Raw genomic sequence first — 21,163 nt, forward strand, 5'->3', positions numbered from 1 at the left:
GGATCACAGGCATGTGCCACCATGCCCAGCTAATTTTGTATTTTTAGTAGAGATGGGGTTTCTCCATGTTGGTCAGGCTGATCTCAAACTCCCGACCTCAGGTGATCCGCCCACCTCTGCCTCCCAAAGTGCTGGGATCTCAGGCATGAGCCACCACGCCCGGCAGTTTTTTCTTTTTCTTTTTCATCTGTGTTATGACTTTATTTATTTATTTATTTATTTATTTATTTATTTATTTATTTATTTTTGAGATGGAGTCTCTTTGTCGCCCAGGCTGGAGTGCAGTGGCACGATCTCGGCTCACTGCAACCTCCGCCTCCCGGGTTCAAGCAATTCTCCAGCCTCAGCCTGCCGAGTAGCTGGGATTATAGGTGCCTGCCACTACGCCCAGCTAATTTTTGTATTTTTAGTGGAGACGGGGTTTCAACATACAGGTCAGGCTGATCTCGAACTCCTGACCTCAGGTGATCCACCCACCTCAGCCTCCCAAAGTGCTGGGATTACAGGCGTGAGCCACCGCGCCTCGTCCTGTATTATGACTTTAAAATGTCTGACATTCTAACAGATTTTATGTATGTCATATTTTAATGGTTTCATGCTGTATATACTCGTGTATTACTTGCTTTTCTCACTGATGACAGTTTTGAACATCTATAAAAAGGAATATACTAACAGATTTTATTTGTGAATGTTATCAATACTTAAATAATTTCATACTGCATATGCTAAAGGTTATGATTCCACCTCACTATCCCAGCTCTCCTAAACCAGGGATGTTACATATGAATCAACAACTTCCACATTATAATGACATATTTTCCCTATTTTAAAATAGCATGCTTTAAAATTCCCTGTTTTAAAATAGCATGCTTTTCTCATTTATAATAATAGTTTTTGAACATCTGTTTGGTCACAATGAATATAGAGCTCCAGGGTTGTTTTTCTTTATATGGTACAGGTGTGCTATTATATATTTACCTAATCATCTACTATTGGAAACCAAAGACTTTTTTTTTTGCCATTATAAATAACATTGTGATGAATAGGTATGCATATAGTCCCAATTCACTTGTCTGATTATTTCTTTGGGTTAAATTCCTAGAACTGGAATTTCTGTTCCAAAGATTGCCAAATTGCCATTCAGGGAAATTTTACTACTCTATATTCTCACCATTGGTATGTAAGAGTACCTATTTTCCCACCAGCTCAGATGCAGATAATCTCCCTTCTTAGCTGTATTTGATATCTAGAATGATGTTAAGGCCAACTCAGTGGTCTGTGTTTTCAGACTTTTGTCTTTTGCCTTTGCTTATGCTGTATTCTCTTCTTGGCATGACTTTCCCCTTCTTTGCTTGGCTAATTCTACTTGTCTTTTAAGTGTATAAGGCCAGGAAATTTATAAAACTTCATATTGCCATGACCATCACTTGATCAAGGATACTGTTTTCATAGGAAGTTTATATTTGAAATTATGAAATAATTCTCACCTAGGACATAACATGTTTTTCCAAGTTTGCCTTTTCTCTCAGGTCTTGGAGAACCAGTTTCATAAATGGCTATTAGCTGAAATCTTAAATTTCTGAACCCTCTGGGCCCTGTAGTATGCTTTTACATTCCTGTGTCTGTTTTCTATCTTTTAAGGCTTCATATTTCTTTCTGGTGAATTTCTCCAGTGGCAAGCTAAGAGCGGCAGAGAGGGATTGTAGTTTGACTGTTAGTTCTGTTGCCTGGTGGATGGCCAGAGAGGCCTGGCAAAGGTGGAGATTAACAGGGAAGACATATTGAAGTGCCCAGTAAATGCTGAATGACTGAGCTAAGTAGTAGCTCTGGAAAACCCCAGAAAATGGCCCTGAGGATTGATGCTTGACGGAAACCCAAGTTAAGGCTATTATTTAGGCCAAGGAAGCTGCACCAGTAAATAGAGCTCCAGCATGAAGCTGAGGCTACTTTTCTGCTTTAGAAATTTGATGGGTGCTAATTGAGAAAAGTATCTTGGAATTTATACTACAGTTCTAACCTGCTACCAACACCATTGTTAGCACAACTGACTATATGCCACATTACCGCACCTCTTTATAATATTGGTTGGTTCATATATGTTTGGAAAATAGGGAAAATATGTCATTATAATGTGGAAGTTGTTGATTCATATGTAACATCCCTGGTTTAGGAGAGCTGGGATAGTGGGGTAGAATCATAACCTTTAGCTGGAGAGGAAAAAACTCTGAGTTCTGCTGCAAAGACAGCAGGAACCTTTTCAGCACCATACTAAGAAAATTAGAAATGAGCACCTACACTCAGGGCTTCCTCCCCAAGAGGTGCACCACTACTTTTACCTTGGTTTTACAAGAGGCGGGCTGCCTTCTTTGCTCCTCTTCCCTCTGCATTGTCATAGTTGGCTGGCTTTCTTTACTCTGTTGTACAGTGTTAACATGCTCTGATCTAGCCTTAAACCACCACATGATGTTTGCCTGGGCCTGCAAATGATCTTCCCAGGTACCAATTACTGCTTTTGTTACTTCTCTGGTTACAAACTTGAATAGGTTGTGAGTGTCCATCCCTTACCCTTTTTTTTCCCCATAAGCCTTGTTATTTTTAGTGCGAGGTTTTTCTAGGAGAGAGAGAGAGAGATATATATATATATATATATATATGTGTATATATATATATGTATATATATATGTATATATATGTATATATATCATTGAGCAGAATGTATTTCCTTTTTGGATTTTTTTTCTAAGCATATTTTAATTTGTTTTTATTATTATTTTTAACTGTCAACTCCAACTTCTAATATGTTGTATTTATTTTTCAAAATTTGATTTGTTGAACTCATTTTTTCTTAGACCCTTCAAAGCCTTTCCTCTATTCATTGTTTTAGTCCTCTCCTCTTCTCTCCTACCTTCCTATAATAATCTCTCTCATTCCACCCTTTAGCTTCTTTGTGCATTCGATGTTAATTTATAAGGTTAGGAAAATTTTTATCTTGGCATTTTGGGGTACTTAAGAGTCTTCCATTAGAAGCAGAGATTACATTTAAGAGCTCTTGTGTTTTGATATTTAGGGATATTTCACTGTATTTTAAAATCAAAATTAACACTAAAATATATATTATAGCAAATACATAGATGTTGATTAGTAGTATGTAAGCATGCATATATTATGTGTTTAATGTAATTTGTAAGCACATTTATAAAGTGTATCAATTTATGAATGTGACTGTGTATAATGCTAATATTATTTTCCTTCAGGATGATCAGGATGGTAGTCAAGGTCTGGGCAAGAGAAAAAGGGTAAAACTAAGCAGTGGCACCAAAGGTATTTGTATTTATTATTATTTTTTTCCTTGAATAAAATGCTTCTAAAAAATGCCTAATCACTAAAAATACTTGATGGGCTAGCCATACTGACATCAAAGCTGTTTGAAGGGAGGCTTATGTTATTAGATTTATCTAATAAGTCTTGGAGAAAGTATTGTTAAGCGATTACTATTGGGTTTTGTTCATTATTTTCATCATAAAATATGCATTATCATATTTGAGTCCCCCCCAAAAGGAAGTCTTTTCATTGATTGACTGATTTGGCTCCAGTGTTTTTTGTGTGAATTTGTAGTTTGGCCTAGTTCCTTTTATAATCTGGGGTATGCAATTTCTAGAGTGAAAAAAGACAAGGGAGATGACATGGTGAGAGAGAGACAGAGACACACACACACACACACACACACACAGGGAATGAACAAATAGTACTTAACACGTCATAAAGGCTCAGTAGGGACTCATGTGTTTACTCAAAGGAGAAAGTATTATAAATATGCTTTGTAGTGAGGGACTAGATTAGTAATAATAATGAGTAATATTTATTGAACCTTTTGTATGTGTTAGACATGTTAGAGATTATGGCTAATGAGAGGTAGATCCTAAATTCATATCCCAGAGCCTAAGCTTTTAACCACAATGTTTACTTGACTGTCACTAAAAGCTTTTCTAGAATACTTGCGATTAGTTGACAAGTCTGTGCTTTGGATTTTTGCCAGGGATTTTCATATCTTAACGTGTGGTTGGTTTAGAAAGTCTCCAGAGGCTAAAATGTTATTTTGATGAAAATAAATTTCTTACTTCTGCTGTTGATTAAGTGTATCTTGTGAAATATCTAGGACTGCCTAGAAAGGTGGAATATGCAGGCACTTTGAGTTGCAGGTTCCTTTTCTAAGTCTCAGTTACTATGCTGCTGCATTTAACTTGGGGGTTGCTAGGAAAGGGTATGGAATTTGATCTGCAGTCCAGGATGCACACATACAGGTATGTTCTCCTTTTTTCTGGCTCAGCAGAGAACCTGTATGTCTGAAGGAAATTAGGAACTCATATGGCCTTCTGGCTCTTTAACTTATCAGATATTAAACTGAGTCCTTGTGACACATCTGAGTTGGAGATTGTTAGGCACATAGTTGAGTTTAAGCTTTAGGGGTGCCCAGAAAATACCTGCTGTGGTGTAAGAGGTCATTGTTTTCCTTCAGCCTGGTCACACTCTGACTGAAGATACTTTTTATGCAGACTTAAGTTAAAGTGTTTTTTTCTTTGTCTGTTTTTAAATACCTGAACTTTTTTCACATGTGTGTTTGGATTGAGTGCCTTCTCTTCCTTGTAATGGTAAGAAATAGTACTGAAATTTAAAACTTCATCAGTTACCATTTTCAGTTTAAGTATGTACATGGAAGGAATGGCTTTGTGAATTAGAACCCCAGGTGTTTTCAAAAACTGACCTTATTTTGAAGATATCTGAAGTTTGGGGAATGGCTCAATTTTTGTAAGAATTTTGTTCCACAGCTTGAAAAGTGCACTGAAAAGAAAATATGTAATGGTAAGGAAGAGGCCAGACACTATGCTAACCTCATCACTGCCTGTTCTCTAAACCTGCATTTTAAGGGTGAGGAAACTGAGGCCTTGAGGGCTTTAACTATATGGCCAAGATTCCAAGATTATTGAGCTAGTGAGTTGCAGAACTTGAACTCTGCTCTCTTAATTAAAACCTTTGCTTTAGTCATGCATTTACAGTACATAATGATTCTTTAAAAATCTCTTTTTACAATTTGACTTAAGGTAGTTTACACATTGTTAAAAGTCATGTCAAGATTTAAAGATAGTCAAACATAACTAATGGAAGCATTTCTGACTACATTTTCATAATATTACACAATATAACACGTGCTTTAACATCTTGGGAGACTGACATCACCTATTTTAAGAACAACAAAGAAGACATTGCTGGAGTTTTTTTGGTCTGCAGATAAAAATATTGAATTCTACATAACTGCAACTATTTTTATTTTAGCAGAAGCCACAGCTTTCCTGGTATATTCAGGTTGTTTAATTGATTTAAAACATTGTTAATGTATATTTTCTTTTAAGTGCTTGACAATTAATAATAATTATGATGGCTTCAGGCTTTTCATTTGCCTAATGCAGGCTTGCAGAGTCATAACTATGAATTCTATGATTAATAGTACTAGTTTTATTCAGCTTTGTAAATACATTAAGAAGCACTTACCAATGAGAGCTTTCATTTTGGTAGTCTGTGAAATTATCAGTCACATTGTGTTAAGTGAATTGTGAGAATTAAATTAGGTACAGCAGTGTGCTGTGGATTATAATTTATTTTTTTCAGCACAGGGTCTCACTGTGTTACCCAGGCTGGAATGATCAGTGGCATGGTCTTGGCTCACTGCAACCTCTGCCTCCCAGGCTCAAGCGATCCAATCCTCCTGTCTCAACCTGCCGAGTAGTTGGGACTACAGGCGCATGCCACCCCACCTGGCTGATTTTCGTATTTTTTTTAGAGACAGGGTTTTGCCATGTTATCTAGGTTGGTCTCAAATTCCTGAGCTCAAGCCATGTGCCCACCTCAGCCTCCCAAAGTGCTAGGATTAAGGTGTGAGCCACTGTGCCGAGCCTATATTATAATTTTTAGTTACAAATCTTAAATTCCTGCTACCTGATTCTCTTGGGCCCTGTTTTTATTACTTTTTATCTTTGAATCTGTCAGTGAATTCTTTTGACTGTATTTTACCTCATTTCTTGCAATCTTGGTTTTTGTTTTTAAATCATTGTCATGCCCTGGAAATGATCTGTTTCAGGAAGAATAGATTTCTGTTTTATAAGTAGAAAATTCTGAGTTTTGAAAATAATTACTTAATTGCTAATAATAAAGAAATGTAGCCTGGACAACACAGCAAGACCATGTCTCTTCAAAAAATAAAAAATAAATTAGCAGGGTGTGGTCTTGCACACCTATAGTCCTAGCTATTCGGGAGGGTAAGGTGGGAGGATAACTTGAGCTGAGGAGTTTGAGGCTGCAGTGAGCTATGATTACGCCACTGCACTCTGGCCTCCAGAGTGAGACCCTGACTCTTAAGAAAAAAAAAAAAAAAAAAAAAAAAAAAGATGTATAGTGTTACAGTGTACTTGTCTTTGTATGTTAACCACTACTATATATCACTTATGTCACCACTGAAATGGAATTAGGGAGTTGGAAGATATTTTTGCCTTTCTGTAGTTAAAATCATAATATCTTCAGAAAATACGATATTTTGGTGCTGTTTTTCTTGTTATTAATGAAAAAACTGCGTTAAAGTTATATCTAATAAGGACTGATTCAAGCCTTAGTAAATGCAGTGTTTTGTAAAGAAAGTGATGACATACTGAGCTTGTTACTCATTTAGACCCATTACCTGGGGAGATGTGGTATGAACACATTATTCAATATTAGAAGAAGTATAAAGCTGGGGTAGTGTTAATTGAAAAAACTCTACAAGGTTATCCTGGAAGACACCTTGAACAGTGATGTAGTTAGGGCTGGACCTGAGGATTTTGATGCGTGTGAGATACTGTTTTTTCCAGTCTCTCATCTAAGTTTAGCCCCTGCTTAAGCAGTGTCACTGGAGCCAGTACATCATAGTTGACACTTCTTGTATCCTCTTGATGTCTTTGTGGATAATGCTTTCTTCCATTGAATACCTTTATTTAAAAAGGGCATCCATTCCCCCCATTCATTTTTCCACTTACTGCTTTATATTAAAATATATGCATTAAATTTTTTCTTATTTATATACTGTGTACATTATAGAAATCTAGCTTGTCAATATTATTGCATTATTGTAAGGATATTTTTAACTTTTAGATACTTTCCCATTTTATGGTTTATGGGTTATTAGTTATAAAATGAGATGAGCAACTTCAATCATTAACTGATAAATTTCATTTTTCATGTGCAGATCAATCCATAATGGATGTTTTGAAGCATAAAAGCTTCCTAGAAGAACTATTATTTTGGACTATAAAATATGAATTCCCTCAAAAGATGGTAACTTTCTTACTCAACATGCTTCCAGATCAAGAGTATAAGGTATCTATATATTTTCCTGCTTTTCTGAACTTAGCTTTTCTTTCTTTGCCTTTCATTATTAAATCTTTTTTTGATATATTTCTCAGGTGAAGGTTGATATAACACTATAAACAAGTGTTAGTTTCTTCTCTTGATAACACAAGTTCTTCACAAAAGGCACAGTGTCTTAGCTTTGTGGCAAAGCAGCATTACTCAGCAGAATTCCAAAGGATTGCTTTTCTGCATGGAACTTGGTCTGGAGGGAATGCTGGGGAACAAACATTGAAACCACAATTTTTATTTTGCAGAAATAAATATGTAGTTACAAATTGTTCTAAATCCTCTGAAGAAGAGTACAAGGTGCTATAAGAATGTTTAATGGGGGCAATTGAATTTAGATTGTGAGATCAGGCTGGGAAAAGCATGGGTTGAAAAGTTGCTGGTCACAACTGCTAAAGAGAGAACAGTTATTGACTCATATACAAATGTTGGCAGGTGAAGTTTCTAGTCCCAGGGGGTCAGAACCCACCTGTTACTATCTTACGGTTATGGCAAAATGACGAAGCTCGGTGTATGAAAAGAAAATAAAGCATGCTGTTATTTTTATGGTGTAGGTTAGGAGAGACACTTTGATAGTGTCATTGTTTTGTGTGTCTTTATATCTGCTAAAAAAAAAAACCAGAGAAAATGTACATGTAAAGGAAATAAGAGTAAAAATAAATACGGCTGGGCGTGGTAGCTCACGTCTGTAGTCCCAGCACTTTGGGAGGCTGAGGTGGGCAGATCACCAGAGGTCGGGAGTTTGAGATCAGTCTGGCCAAACCCCATCTCTACTGAAAATACAAAAATTAGTTGGGCGTGATGGCGTGTGCCTGTAATCCCAGCTACTTGGGAGGCTGAGGCAGGAGAATTGCTTGAACTGGGGAGGCGGAGGTTGCAGTGAGCTGAGATCATGCCATTGCACTCAGGCTTGGGGACAGAGCAAGACTCCGTTTTGGGGGAAAAAAATTTTTTTTTTTTCTTTAACCATCAAAATATTTTGCAAATGTTCCAAAAAAGTGAAAGACTACCTCACCATCGAGATTTTTTTTAAGTTATCTTGGGCATTATTATAAATTAGTAATAGCTGTAAAATGTTAACATGATATATTGAAAATGATTTTAAATTAAAAATTAAAACTAATGTGTTTTTTCCTTTCTATTAAAATGTTTACAGGTTGCTTTTACAAAAACTTTTGTTCAGCATTATGCTTTCATTATGAAAACACTGAAGAAAAGTCATGAATCAGACACAATGTCTAACAGAATTGTGCATATTAGTGTTCAGTTGTTCAGCAATGAGGAGCTAGCCAGACAGGTAACAGAAGAATGTCAGCTGCTGGATATTATGGTCACTGTGCTATTATACATGATGGAAAGTTGCCTTATTAAAAGTGAGCTACAAGGTAACTCAGAATTATATTCACTAGTTCTATTATTATCAGTATTATTATTCTAGTATTATTAGTGTACTTCATATACTTAGTAATATTACTAATAATGATACTTAGTATTATTAATCATATTCTAGTATTAGTGAACTTTGTATAACTAGTCTTGAAAACACCTTATGTTTAAAAAAATTATAAAATAATACATGTTTGTTACGGACATCTTTGAAAATTTCCAGTGAAGTTTAAAGAAAAAGTTAAAAGCACTTGTAGTTTTGTTATTCACAAATACCTGTTGTTAGCACTTTGCTATATTTCTTTTCTTTTTGTGTAATGACTATATTTATAGATACAATAAATACTTTTTAAAAAGTTGCCATAGTGTACATGTCAAAAACATGCATTTTAATAAGTGCAGGTATTAATATCATGGCTATACCATAATTTATTTAGTCATTTCCTTATTAGACATGTTTCTGCTTTTTTATCATAAATTTGCTGCTATCAGTCTTAGATATTTTTACATGCTTATACTTTTATAACTTAAAAATTGGGATAAATCTTGCCTTTACTCCCTTAGTGAGAACTTTATATTCTTCTTTTGTGCCCACTATGTGGTTGATACTCTTCAACCTGCCATAATGTTTCTGTACCTCTTCCCATTCTCATTTCTCTATAGTTACTCATCTTAACTTTACCTCCCTTAAATTCTATATATATGTATATGTGTGTATATATGTATATATGTATATACACACATATATAAATACATACATAATTTTTATTATTATTTTTTGAGACAGAGTCTTGCTCTGTACCCCAGGCTGGAGTGCAGTGGTACGATCTTGGCTTACTGCAACCTCCGCCTCCTGGGTTCAGTTCAAGCAGTTCTGCCTCAGCCTCCTGAGTAGCTGGGATAACAGGTGTACATCACCATGTCTGGCTAATTTTTGTATTTTTAGTAGAGATGGGGTTTTGCCATGGTGCCCAGGCTAGTCTTGAACTCCTGACCTCAGGTGATCCCCCTGCCTCAGCCACCCAGAGTGCTGGGATTACAGGTATGAGACACCACGCTTGGCCAATAATATATAGTATTTAAATATTTGCTATGTACCTGGTACTGTGCTGAATACTATTTATGTATTGTTTCAATTAAGCTTCTGAACAAGTCTCTGAGATTGGCATTATTATTATCCTTGCTTTAAAGATGAGTACATTGAGGCTTAGGAAAGTTAAGCAATTTGCCATAGGTTATACAGCCAGCAAATGACACAGTTAAGAAGGATTTCCTGGCTCCTAATGTCAGAACTCTTACTATTCTTAACCTTGACACAGCCAGTCCCTGTCAAAGACTCTTTGATAGGATGTGTCTTTACTTGTTGGCACTAGGAGCTAAACTTTAAAAATAACAACAAACAATACTTCAGATTAATTAAATCTTAGGACCTCTCCATTCTCTGAGGAGGAGAAATCTTATAGTTGAGCCTTGCTTTGTTCCACTCTTGCCTCTTTGTGCATATCAGCTCCTGTTTTCTCCTTATACTGATAATCTGTCTGTTCTCAGGTGTGACACCATGTCCTGAAAATTGATATGAACTCAGTGCAAGGCATAATGCGTTATATATAATAGCTAGCTAATTATGATAGCTACCATCTCTAGAGTACTCAACTATATGCTAGACTCTTTTCTCAGTACTTTATATGCATTATATCACTTAACCATCAATAATTCTTTGAAGGTATTGTCATCTCCATTTTATAGATGAGGCAGCTGAGGCATAGGGAGTTGAAGTCAATGATCTGTGATCTTACAGCTCTGAGTGGTAAGGCCGGGTTGTCTAACTTCAAAGCCTGTACTCTTTCTTACCTACTTTGTGAGTCTGCCTTCCCATTGTAGGTATAGTGGGAGCATAATACATTATTTACATTAAAGAATATACTTCTTCACCTTTTTTTTTTTTTTTTAAAGATGGAGTTTCACTCTTTTTTTTTTTTTTTTGAGACGGAGTCTCGCTCTGTCGCCCAGGCTGGGGTGCAGTGGCGCGATCTCAGCTCACTGCAAGCTCTGCCTCCCAGGTTCACGCCATTCTCCTGCCTCAGCCTCCCGAGTAGCTGGGACTACAGGCACCCACCACCACGCCCAGCTAATTTTTTGTATTTTTAGTAGAGACGGGGTTTCACCGTGTTAGCCAGGATGGTCTCGATATCCTAACCTTGTGATCCGCCTGCCTCGGCCTCCCAAAGTGCTGGGATTACAGGCGTGAGCCACCGCGCCTGGCTGGAGTTTCACTCTTGTTGCCTAGGCTGGAATGCAATGGCGTGATCTCAGCTCACTGCAACCTCCGCCTTCCAGGTTCAACTGATTCTCCTGCCTCAGCCTCCCGAGTAGCTGGGACTACAGGCGCCCGCCACCATGCCCGGCTAATTTTTTGTATTTTTAGTAGAGACAGGGTTTCACTGCATTGGCCAGGCTGGTCTTGGACTCCTGACGTCAGGTGATCCACCCACCTCGGCCTCCCAAAGTGCTGGGATTACAGGCATGAGCCACCATGCCTGGCCTACTTCTTTGCTTTTTAAAGGAAAATTTAAAAGCTGCTTTATGTTTTAGTTTTACTAACTTCATGTAATATGATCTATTCTTTCCTAGAGATTTATCTACATATATTGCTTTTTCTTTTTTCCTTTTTGAAATAGTATCTGCTGTCATTCAGCTGTATCAATGATATTCTTATATTTTATTATATATTTAAAGACAGACTTTTCACAAAAATGGTGTTTTTTTTAAATTTTTTTACTTTTTAATTATACTTTAAGGTCTGGGGTACATGTACAGAATGCGCAGGTTTGTTACCTAGGTATACATGTGCCATGGTGGTTTGCTGCACCCATCAACCTGTCATCTACATTAGGTATTTCTCCTAATGCTGTTCCTCCCCCCGCCCCTTGCCCGGCCTGGTGTGTGATGTCCGCCTCCCTGTGTCCATGTGTTCTCATTGTTCAACTCCCACTTATGAGTGAAAACATGCGGTGTTTGGTTTTCTGTCCTTGTGATAGTTTGCTGAGAATGATGGTGACCAGTTTCATCCATGTCCTGCAAAGGACATAAACTCATCCTTTTTTATGGCTGCAATAGTATTCCATGGTGTATATGTGCCACATTTTCTTTATCTAGTCCATCATTGATGGTCATTTGGGTTGGTTCCAAGTCTTTGCTATTGTGAACAGTGCCGCAATATACATGTGCATGTGTCTTTATAGCAGCATGATTTATAACCCTTTGGGTATATACCCAGTAAAGGGATTGCTGGGTCAAATGGTATTTCTAGTTCTAGATCCTTGAGGAATCGCCACACTGTCTTCCACAATGGTTGAACTAATTTACACTCCCACCAACAGTGTAAAAGCGTTCCTATTTCTCCACATCCTCTCCAGCGTCTGTGGTTTCCTGACTTTTTAATGATCGCCGTTCTGACTGGCCTGAGATGGTATCTCATTGTGGTTTTGATTTGCATTTCTCTAATGACCAGTGATGATGAGCATTTTTCATATGTCTGTTGGCTGCATAAATGTCTTCTTTTGAGAAGTGTCTGTTCATGTCCTTCACCCACTTTTTGATAGGATTGTTTTTTTCTTGTAAATTTGTTTAAGTTCTTTGTAGATTCTGGATATTAGCCCTTTGTCAGATGGATAGATTGCAAAAATGTTCTCCCATTCTGTAGGTTGCCTGTTCACTCTGGTAATAGTTTCTTTTGCTGTGCAGAAGCTCTTTAGTTTAATTAGATCCCATTTGTCAATTTTGGCTTTTGTTGCCATTGCTTTTGGTGTTTTAGTCATGCAGTCTTTGCGGCAAAATGGTGTTTTAAATTCATAATTGAGAAAACAAAATTTAGAAGTACCTGTTCTTTTAAAAGAATCTGGAGTCTCTTTTCTTCACTAGGTGATTTAGCTGTGCTTATTACATGTGGTTTGCATTTGGCCTTTAAGGGAGAATATTTGGGAACAAGATGAGTCTTAAACCTGCCTCCCTTTTTTTTTTTTAATAGCTAGCTTTCCTCACTTTTTATATTCGTATCCTTACCTACCTCATTTTAATGTTCACTCCCATTGTTCTATTGAAATCTACAAAATTGTCCATGACTCATGTAGACATAGTCCTAGTTTTCCCAGAATAGCCTTAAGTTATGCCTGTTAGTCTGACGTAGTTATTAATACAATTTCTTTTACACTCAAAAGCGTCCCAGTTTATATGATAAATTATGTGGTTTACCCTTTTTGTAAACTACATGTTGAGGAAGCCAGTGGTCATAGTTTAAACTTTACCTTGCTTGATTTTCAGTAGCATTTCACACTGTTGATTCTCTTTCTGTGGCCCAATACTCTTCTCTACTTGTCCTATCAATATTGGTGTTTCTTGGCACTTTGTCCTAGTGTCTCTGCTTTTCACACTTTTCCCATATTTTTCTGAAATCATATTATATGGTATCAGTTGCTTTTTACATATGCTTCTAATGCAGTTAGTCTTTTCTGGAAATTCTTATACAAATTGAATTTTCAACAAGCTGAAATAAAGATTGGTAAGATCTTTAAATATAATTTTTTTTTAGCAGTAAATTACATTATTTCCAGCCAAGTTCTAAAACTATCTTTGGAAGCCTTCAAACTTTGCCATACTATTTTTTCCTCTTTCAGTAGTAGCATAAGATATCATGATATATATTTACTGCTTTTCTAAAAGTATCATAAGCTTTTCCCATTTTTACACTGAGTATTAGAATAAACCTTAGCTGTACTGAACTACCCATAACTAGCCACGGATATTACAACAGGATCTCTGTACTTTCTTTTTATTTTTTAGCAGCCTCTATCTAGCCTTGTCTTGAATTGTTGTTAGATGATATTTTAAAATTTTATCTATACTTTTAATAAATACAGGAGCTGATACAATGAGAATTTGGCCACAGCGATAGCTGAAGACTAAAGGGAAAAAGCCTTATAGTAGTATGTGATTCCTACCTTCTACTTTTACTTTTTTATATTCAATTTTATACCATATGCTTTGTGGTTCCAAACATAGCTCATAATTTTTCATGTCCCAGAAATTTTAGAATTTATCTTTTGAAACAGTCTTTGTAAAGTGGAATCTAAAACCATGTGTTGTATGACATAGGAATGTCTGTAGATGCTCATAATCCCAGACTGCCTTTCCTCCCTGCATATCAAACTACTTATTGAACTATATTGTTTGGATGTCTATAAACACCTCAAACACACAGTGTCCATAGCGAAGACTCATTATTGCTCCATTAATCTGGCTGCTTTTACATTATCTTGTGTGTGTGTGTATGTACATGAGCACATGAATGTGTGTTTTGATTCCACTGTCTAACTATCTAAACAGCTGTGCAGCCTAAAAACCTAGGAGTTGTCTTTGACTTCTTTTTATTCCTTGCAGATATAGCACACATTACCAACTCTGTCCTTCAAATCTTCTGAATATCTTTACATAGCCTCTTCATCACTGCATCTTTTTGCCACCACCATAGTTCAAACCATGGCCATCTCTAAGCCTCTTATCTCTAGTTGTTGTCACTCTCCTTCAGTCACTTTTTACATTACACTTCTTATAATGTTCTCTCTCTTAAAACCCCCTAGTGGCTTTCCATTCTCTTCATGTGAACTCTAAAGTCCTGACGCTGGTTTATAAGACCCTGTAGCCTCATTTGTACCATGCATCCTCTGTATTCTTTCTTCAAGTGATTCTAACCTTTTCTTAGGTACTGCTCCTTCCGCGTATAGCACCATCTGCTCCACCATCACTAGTTTTATCTGGTTAATCCTAATTCCTGCTTTATTTTATAGGCCTCAGTTTAAACTTCACTTCCTCAGGAGAGTCTTTTTTTTTTTTTTGAGATGGAGCCTTGCTCTGTCACTTAGGCTGGAGTGCAGTGGCACAATCTCGGCTCACTGCAACCTCCGCCTCCCGGGTTCAAGTGATTCTCCTGCCTCAGCCTCCTGAGTAGTTGGGATTACAGGTGCCTGCCACCACGCCCAGCTAACTTTGTGTTTTTAGTAGAGGTGGGGGTTTTACCATGTTGGCGAGGCTGGTCTCGAACTCCTGACTTCAGGTGATTCGCCCATTTTGGCCTCCCAAAGTGCTGGGATTACAGGCGTGAGCCACCATGGCCAGCCAAGTCTTTTCTTGAATTGTAGTCTCGCTTTATTTGTTCTTATGAGTCCCTCTACTTTTCCCATTGCAGCCCTTATCACATTCTGCCTTCTTAGATGTTAATCTCCATGAAGACAGAGATCATCTAAATCTTGATTTATTTATCACTTTATTCTCAGAGATTAGTTGAAAACTTGACCCTTAGTAGGTGCTCAATAAATATTTGTTGATGAGTGAATTTAATTTTACACTGAATCATTGCTCTTTATATCTGTAATGAGGAAAGTACCAGTTTGAGTAAAAATAGAAGTCCTAATCATTTTATTTCATTAATGATTCCAAGGCGTTTTTTACAAGAACAGTAGTATTTAAGCAGTGTCATGAAAATAGTGAGTTTGATTAATTATATTCTGCTTATTCATCCTCTGGTTTCAATTATATAGAACAGTGATTCTCAATTTTTAACTTAAAAAAAATCCCAACATTCCTTAGCACTGTTGCATCAATATCAATGGCTCACTAGCTCAGAAGTGGAACAGTAGTTGTCAGTCATGGCCAGGGGTTAGTATAAATAATTTGTAAAAAGCCCCTAGTCCTTACTTCCTCATTGAGTTAGACCCTCTCTCGTCCATTGAGAAGTACTGAAAGAGAGTGTACTTAACTTCAGTGGACCCTGTTCTTAGATATTGTTAAACTTATTTAATATTTGGTAAAATAATTCTGTGGACTGAAACCTAAGTTTAATGTGTGGAAATTAAAAAGTGCAGTAGAGGCCCTCCTGACTGATGAGTATGACAGGTAGATAGGTAGTTGAATAAGTTGGTTAAAGTGAGGAATCATTTAAAAAATATGAGCCGGGTGTGGTGGCACATACTTGTAATCCCAGCTACTGAGGAGGCTGAGGTGGGAAGACTGCTTGAGCCCAGGAGTTTGAGTCCAGCGTGGGCAACATAGTGAGACCCCCATCTTTGAAAAAATATATATATACCTTAAACATTGTATTTTAACTTAAAACACAGAACTGTGTGTTCATTCTCCAGGCTTTTAACTTTGGGCAAAGTATTTTCAGGATATGATTTCCTTGACTGGAGTTCTCGCTCATCTTTTTTATAAATAGCACATCTATAAAGCATCATCTGTGGATCCAATTTTAATCTCTTTAAAATAGAGTTAGAATATAAAGCAATCTGAGTGTAAAATATACTTAGGCTTTTATGATTTTTCTGTCCCAAGGTTTTTTAGCTTTTTTTCCTGGCACTTGTTTTTATTTTATTGTCTCTCAAAAGCATATGATTCAATTTCTGTAATACCTCTCTGTGCTTTCATATGTCATTAGTTCATATACTTTTGATCTAAATTGTGTAATTATGATAAAAAGAACAATTAGCATGAATAGAAACAAAAATTGACTCTAGGTAACCATACGCCCCAGCCTGTGTACAGGGAATGAGCTATGAGCCTTGAGCATTCCATGTATTATGGGTATTAATATGTTTTACAGTGGGAATGGAAACTTCCTAGTCCAGTGAGTCAGTGAAGTTGGAATAGGTTAAAGAGAGTGAATGCATATATACTAATAATTTTTAATGATAAAGATTTCGTACAAGCCTATCCTCCCACCACCCCCAATGATGTATTTAAACTTTGAGGATTTTTTTTTCAAGGCTTAAGAAGTTGGTGTGTGTGTGTGTTTCTTTTTTTTAAATGTGTGTTTTTTATCTTTGAAATATTGTTTGCTAAAGATTGTATTGATGTATTTTTTGCATAGAAGAAAGCAATTAAATGTACATCTCTTGAAATCATACAGATTTGGTTGATAAGATGAAATGAGATTAATCTAGGGATAAAAATTTTTTATTGATTTCAACAGAAAATACTGCATTATATCATTAGAATCAAGAAAATAAGGTTTTATAAACATACAGCTACCTCAGTATCATGTCATATATTGGACATATGGTAATAATTACTATAATGATATACTAAGTACTTTTGTTAATGCTTCATGTAATTCTTTTAAGATGGATGTTTTTATTTTCTACTTTATAAATGAAGAAATTGATTCAGAGAGTGTAAATATTGTGCCTAAAGCCATATAGGTATTAAATGGAAGGCTGGGGTTTGAATTTAGGTATATCTGATTCTAAAGTATATATATTCTGTATTATTGGTTAAGCTTTTTAAAAAAATCTTATGAAATTTTTGGGTTGTGTGTGTCTTTTTTTAGATGAAGAAAATAGTTTACATGTGGTAGTGAACTGTGGAGAAGCATTACTGAAGAATAACACTTACTGGCCTCTTGTTAGTGATTTTATTAATATTCTTTCTCATCAAAGTGTGGCCAAGAGATTTTTGGAGGATCACGGTTTGTTAGTTACATGGATGAACTTTGTATCTTTCTTTCAAGGTATGAATTTTATCCCTTTGTTAATTTTTTGGTTTACAAAATTCCTAATGCTAAATTATTAAATATCAATTAAAATACAATAGCACATCATTCACGCTACACATGAAATAGCTCATTATTTTAATTGGTATTTGTAAGTACTTTAATAAATTGTTCATAAAACATACCAAGGAGTTAGGAAAAATGTCAAATGATTGAAAAAGAAACAGGAGTATAACTTTTTAAGCATTTAAACAAATTTAACTTAATTTTTTTATTTTTAGTAGAGACAGGGTCTCACTATGTTGCCCAGGCTGGTCTAGTACTCCTGGGCTCAACCAATCCATTTGCTTCAGCCTCCCAAAGTGCTGGGATTACAGGGATTAGCCACTGTGCCTGGCTTTGAAGCATTTGTAACCATTAATCTAGAAATGTGAAATCTATTGTCTGAGAAAGATTCGTAACACGTAAAGCTTTCAACTAACATCAATTAAAATTTTTTTGACTTTCTTATCAAAAGATATTCAGTTTATTACATGAGATAATTCATAAAATGTTTCTAAGAAAACCTAGTTTGTAAAAAATTCTGAAAGGACTAGATTGTTTCATTTTTAGTAATTTACTTATTTCTATATGTACTGTGTCAGTAATGCTATTTGTGTGCATAAATGTGTTTGGGACTGGGAAATGTACTTGATATTTAACATGAATGTGTGCTTCCACTTGACAAGGTTTATATCTGCTTTAATTTTTGCCAGGTATGAACTTAAACAAGCGAGAACTAAACGAGCATGTGGAATTTGAGTCTCAGACCTACTATGCTGCCTTTGCTGCTGAACTTGAGGCCTGTGCACAGCCAATGTGGGGGCTTTTATCACATTGTAAAGTTAGGGTATGTTGGAAATATTTTTGTTAATTTCTGTGTTTAAGAAAAAGACTTGTGAAAATATTGGTTTGTTCATTTGTATATAATGTGCAGTGTTTAATTTTGTTTCAAATTGAATTCAGCTTTATGAAAACTGACCTGAGACAGTAATTTTCATTCTTAGGCAGTTTGGAATTCATTATTATCAGATTTTTCCAGCCTGTTGCTATTGTGAACAGTCTTCGGAACTTCATTAGTCTCCACATTCATCTTTATTGTTTCATTTGTTATCAGTTGCCTAATGCTTCTTTCTTTCAAGGAGTAGGATAGTCCTCAATATTACACTTTCAAGATTCCAAGGACAAAACAAGTATAAATTCCACAAACCTTCCAGTGGTTGTTATATAATGTATATTATAATATATAATATTATAAGCATTGGTTTGATGGGTCTCCAGAAACCTTGGGCAGTCCAGACAAATGGAATCCCCTGACCCTATTAAACTAAAGACTTGACTAAAATTTTGATAATAGACACCATGCAGTTCCAGCCTGTTATTCTATACCAGTAATCATGCTGGACAAGATTTTGTAGTAGACATATTTTGAAGCCCTGGGTTCTAGTTTTGACTCTGCTTCTTTTTTACTTGCGTGACTTGGTCAGCTCATTTAAAAATATTTGAATTTCTCAGTCTGTTTACTGACCTTTTAAAAACAAAGTGAAAGAGAAATGGGACAGTAAAGCCTGCTCTTTGTTATTGTGAAGCTGTCTTCCATCTACCACTTAAGCGTATGTGTTTCTTTAAGTAGATTTATACTTTCTTTTGTTAGTTCAGCCATTCTCTAAATGCAGATGACTTACAGCCTTGTTACAATCTTACTAGGTTCAAATTTCTTTCTTTTTTTTTTTTTTTTTTTTTTAGAGGGAGTCTCTCTGTTGCCAGGCTGGAGTGCAGTGGCACCATCTCAGCTTACTGCAACCTCCATCTCCCAGGTTTAAGCAATTCTCCTGCCTGAGCCTCCCGAGTAGCTGGGATTACAGGTGTGCACCGGCACACCTGGCTAATTTTTGTATTTTTTGTAGAGACAGGGTTTCACCATGTTGTCCCGGTTCAAATTTCTAACAGGTCTGATTATTCATGTAGATCCCCTTGTAGGTACATGAATTTTCTCAGGTTCTGAATTAACTTTTAAAAACTATCTGTCCATATGATATTTCCTTTTGTGCCCTTTTTGTCATTTAATGGTATCTTAAATTATGTAATTGTCCATTCTGGAAACTTTCTTCCCTTGCTGTGCTAGCTGTGTTTAACCTGTAAGCAGATACTAAGAATCTTTCGTTCTAGAAATATTCCTCTCCTGCTTTTTTCCTTTATTTCTCTGTATTTTAAAAATATGGATTATTAAGGTAATTTCTTAACTGGTTTTCGTGTTTCTAGACCCTTTCTACTGTAATCTGTCTCAATACCAAAGTTACTTTTCTAAGCTCTATATATCTCCCTCTCCTTTACTTAAAAATCATTCAAGTTCTCATCAATCTACAGGATAACATCTGTTTTTCCTATAGAGACATTTAAAATTCTCCACAAGTTGCCCTCAACTTGTCTCTCATAATTCGTTATCTTTTTTTTTAATTTTTAAATTTTTTTTTATTTTTTGAGATGGAGTCTCACTCACTGTCACCCAGGCTGGAGTGCGAACTCAGCTCACTGCAACCTCTGCCTCCTGGGTTCAAGCGATTCTTCTGCCTCCACCTCCCAAGTAGCTGGGATTACAAGTGTGCACCACCATGCCTGGCTCATTTTTGTATTTTTAGTAAAGACAAGGTTTCACCATGTTGCACATACTTGTCTCAAACTCCTGACCTCAGGTGATCTGCCCACCTCAGCCTATAATTCATCTTCTTATACCCCCTCTCCCTCCATGCCTTTATTGGATTGATTATTATTCCCCAACATGCAGTGTCCTTTCTTGATTCCTGTGCTTTTGTTCAAGCTGGTCTCTTTCTTTGGCATATGGTCTTTCATTCTCTTTTGTTGGCTCAGAGTTTTTCTTGCATGAGAGTTATCTTGGAAGCTTAAAAAATATGTATGCATAAGCCCCAGTGTCAGAGGTTTTGATTCATTTGATATGCAGTGGGACCTGTGTAGTGATTCTAACCAAAATGAAGAACAATTAATGTTAACTCTTTGAAATTTTAAAGTTTTCTTAAAAAATTCTCAAGACTCAGATATATAATCTACTCATTTATTCCTCCAGTCAGGTTTGTTTTCATAGTGTACCTTGTTTAATTTCCACTGTAGCATTTATCAAGAAACTGTCATATAATATGAGGTTTGTTTGTTCATTTATTCAAAAAATATATGCCAGACATTGTTTAGATGCTTAAGTTTTTGGTACTGAACCAAATAGATATGGTTCTTGCTCTCATAGGGGAGATAAATCTTAAGTAAGTAAACACATCGATTTACTTCAGAAGCTTTTGTAAGTGCTCTTTGGGAAAATAACAGGTTGTTATGAGGGAGAGTAATGAGTATGAGGACTGAAGATTTGAGTATCAGAGAATGCGTTTATGAAGAGAGAATATGAAGGACCCAGCTCTGTGAATATTAAATTGGGGTTAGTGTTTGTCGTGGGGGAGATAAGAGGGAATAGCCTACCTTCAGTAGGAAAGTGATTGGTCCTTTTTTTTTTTTTTTTTTTTGAGACGTAGTCTTGCTCTGTCACCCAGGCTGGAATGCAGTGGCACAATCTTGGCTCACTGCAAGCTCTGCCTCCCGGGTTCACGCCATTCTCCTGCCTCAGCCTCCCGAGTAGGTGGGACTACAGGTGCCCGCCACCAAGCCCGGCCAATTTTTTGTATTTTTTTTAGTAGAAACGGGGTTTCACTGTAGCCAGGATGGTCTCAATCTCCTGACCTCGTGATCCGCCTGCCT

At 36.3% G+C, this 21,163-nt stretch overlaps 1 protein-coding gene across 1 annotated transcript in view; it reads left to right on the forward strand.

Moving 5' to 3' along the window:
• The window catches only part of UBR3 (ubiquitin protein ligase E3 component n-recognin 3), a 256,678-nt gene that overhangs the window by 60,457 nt on the left and 175,058 nt on the right, over nt 1-21,163 (forward strand). Inside the window, exons 6-10 of the mRNA NM_172070.4 lie at nt 3,255-3,321; nt 7,271-7,401; nt 8,597-8,825; nt 17,204-17,383; nt 18,121-18,254. Coding sequence (NP_742067.3) covers nt 3,255-3,321; nt 7,271-7,401; nt 8,597-8,825; nt 17,204-17,383; nt 18,121-18,254 — 741 coding nt within the window. The remainder of the gene's footprint in view (nt 1-3,254; nt 3,322-7,270; nt 7,402-8,596; nt 8,826-17,203; nt 17,384-18,120; nt 18,255-21,163) is intronic.

This window comes from Homo sapiens, chromosome 2 (genome assembly GCF_000001405.40).
Source record: "Homo sapiens chromosome 2, GRCh38.p14 Primary Assembly".
Taxonomy (NCBI): domain Eukaryota; kingdom Metazoa; phylum Chordata; class Mammalia; order Primates; family Hominidae; genus Homo; species Homo sapiens.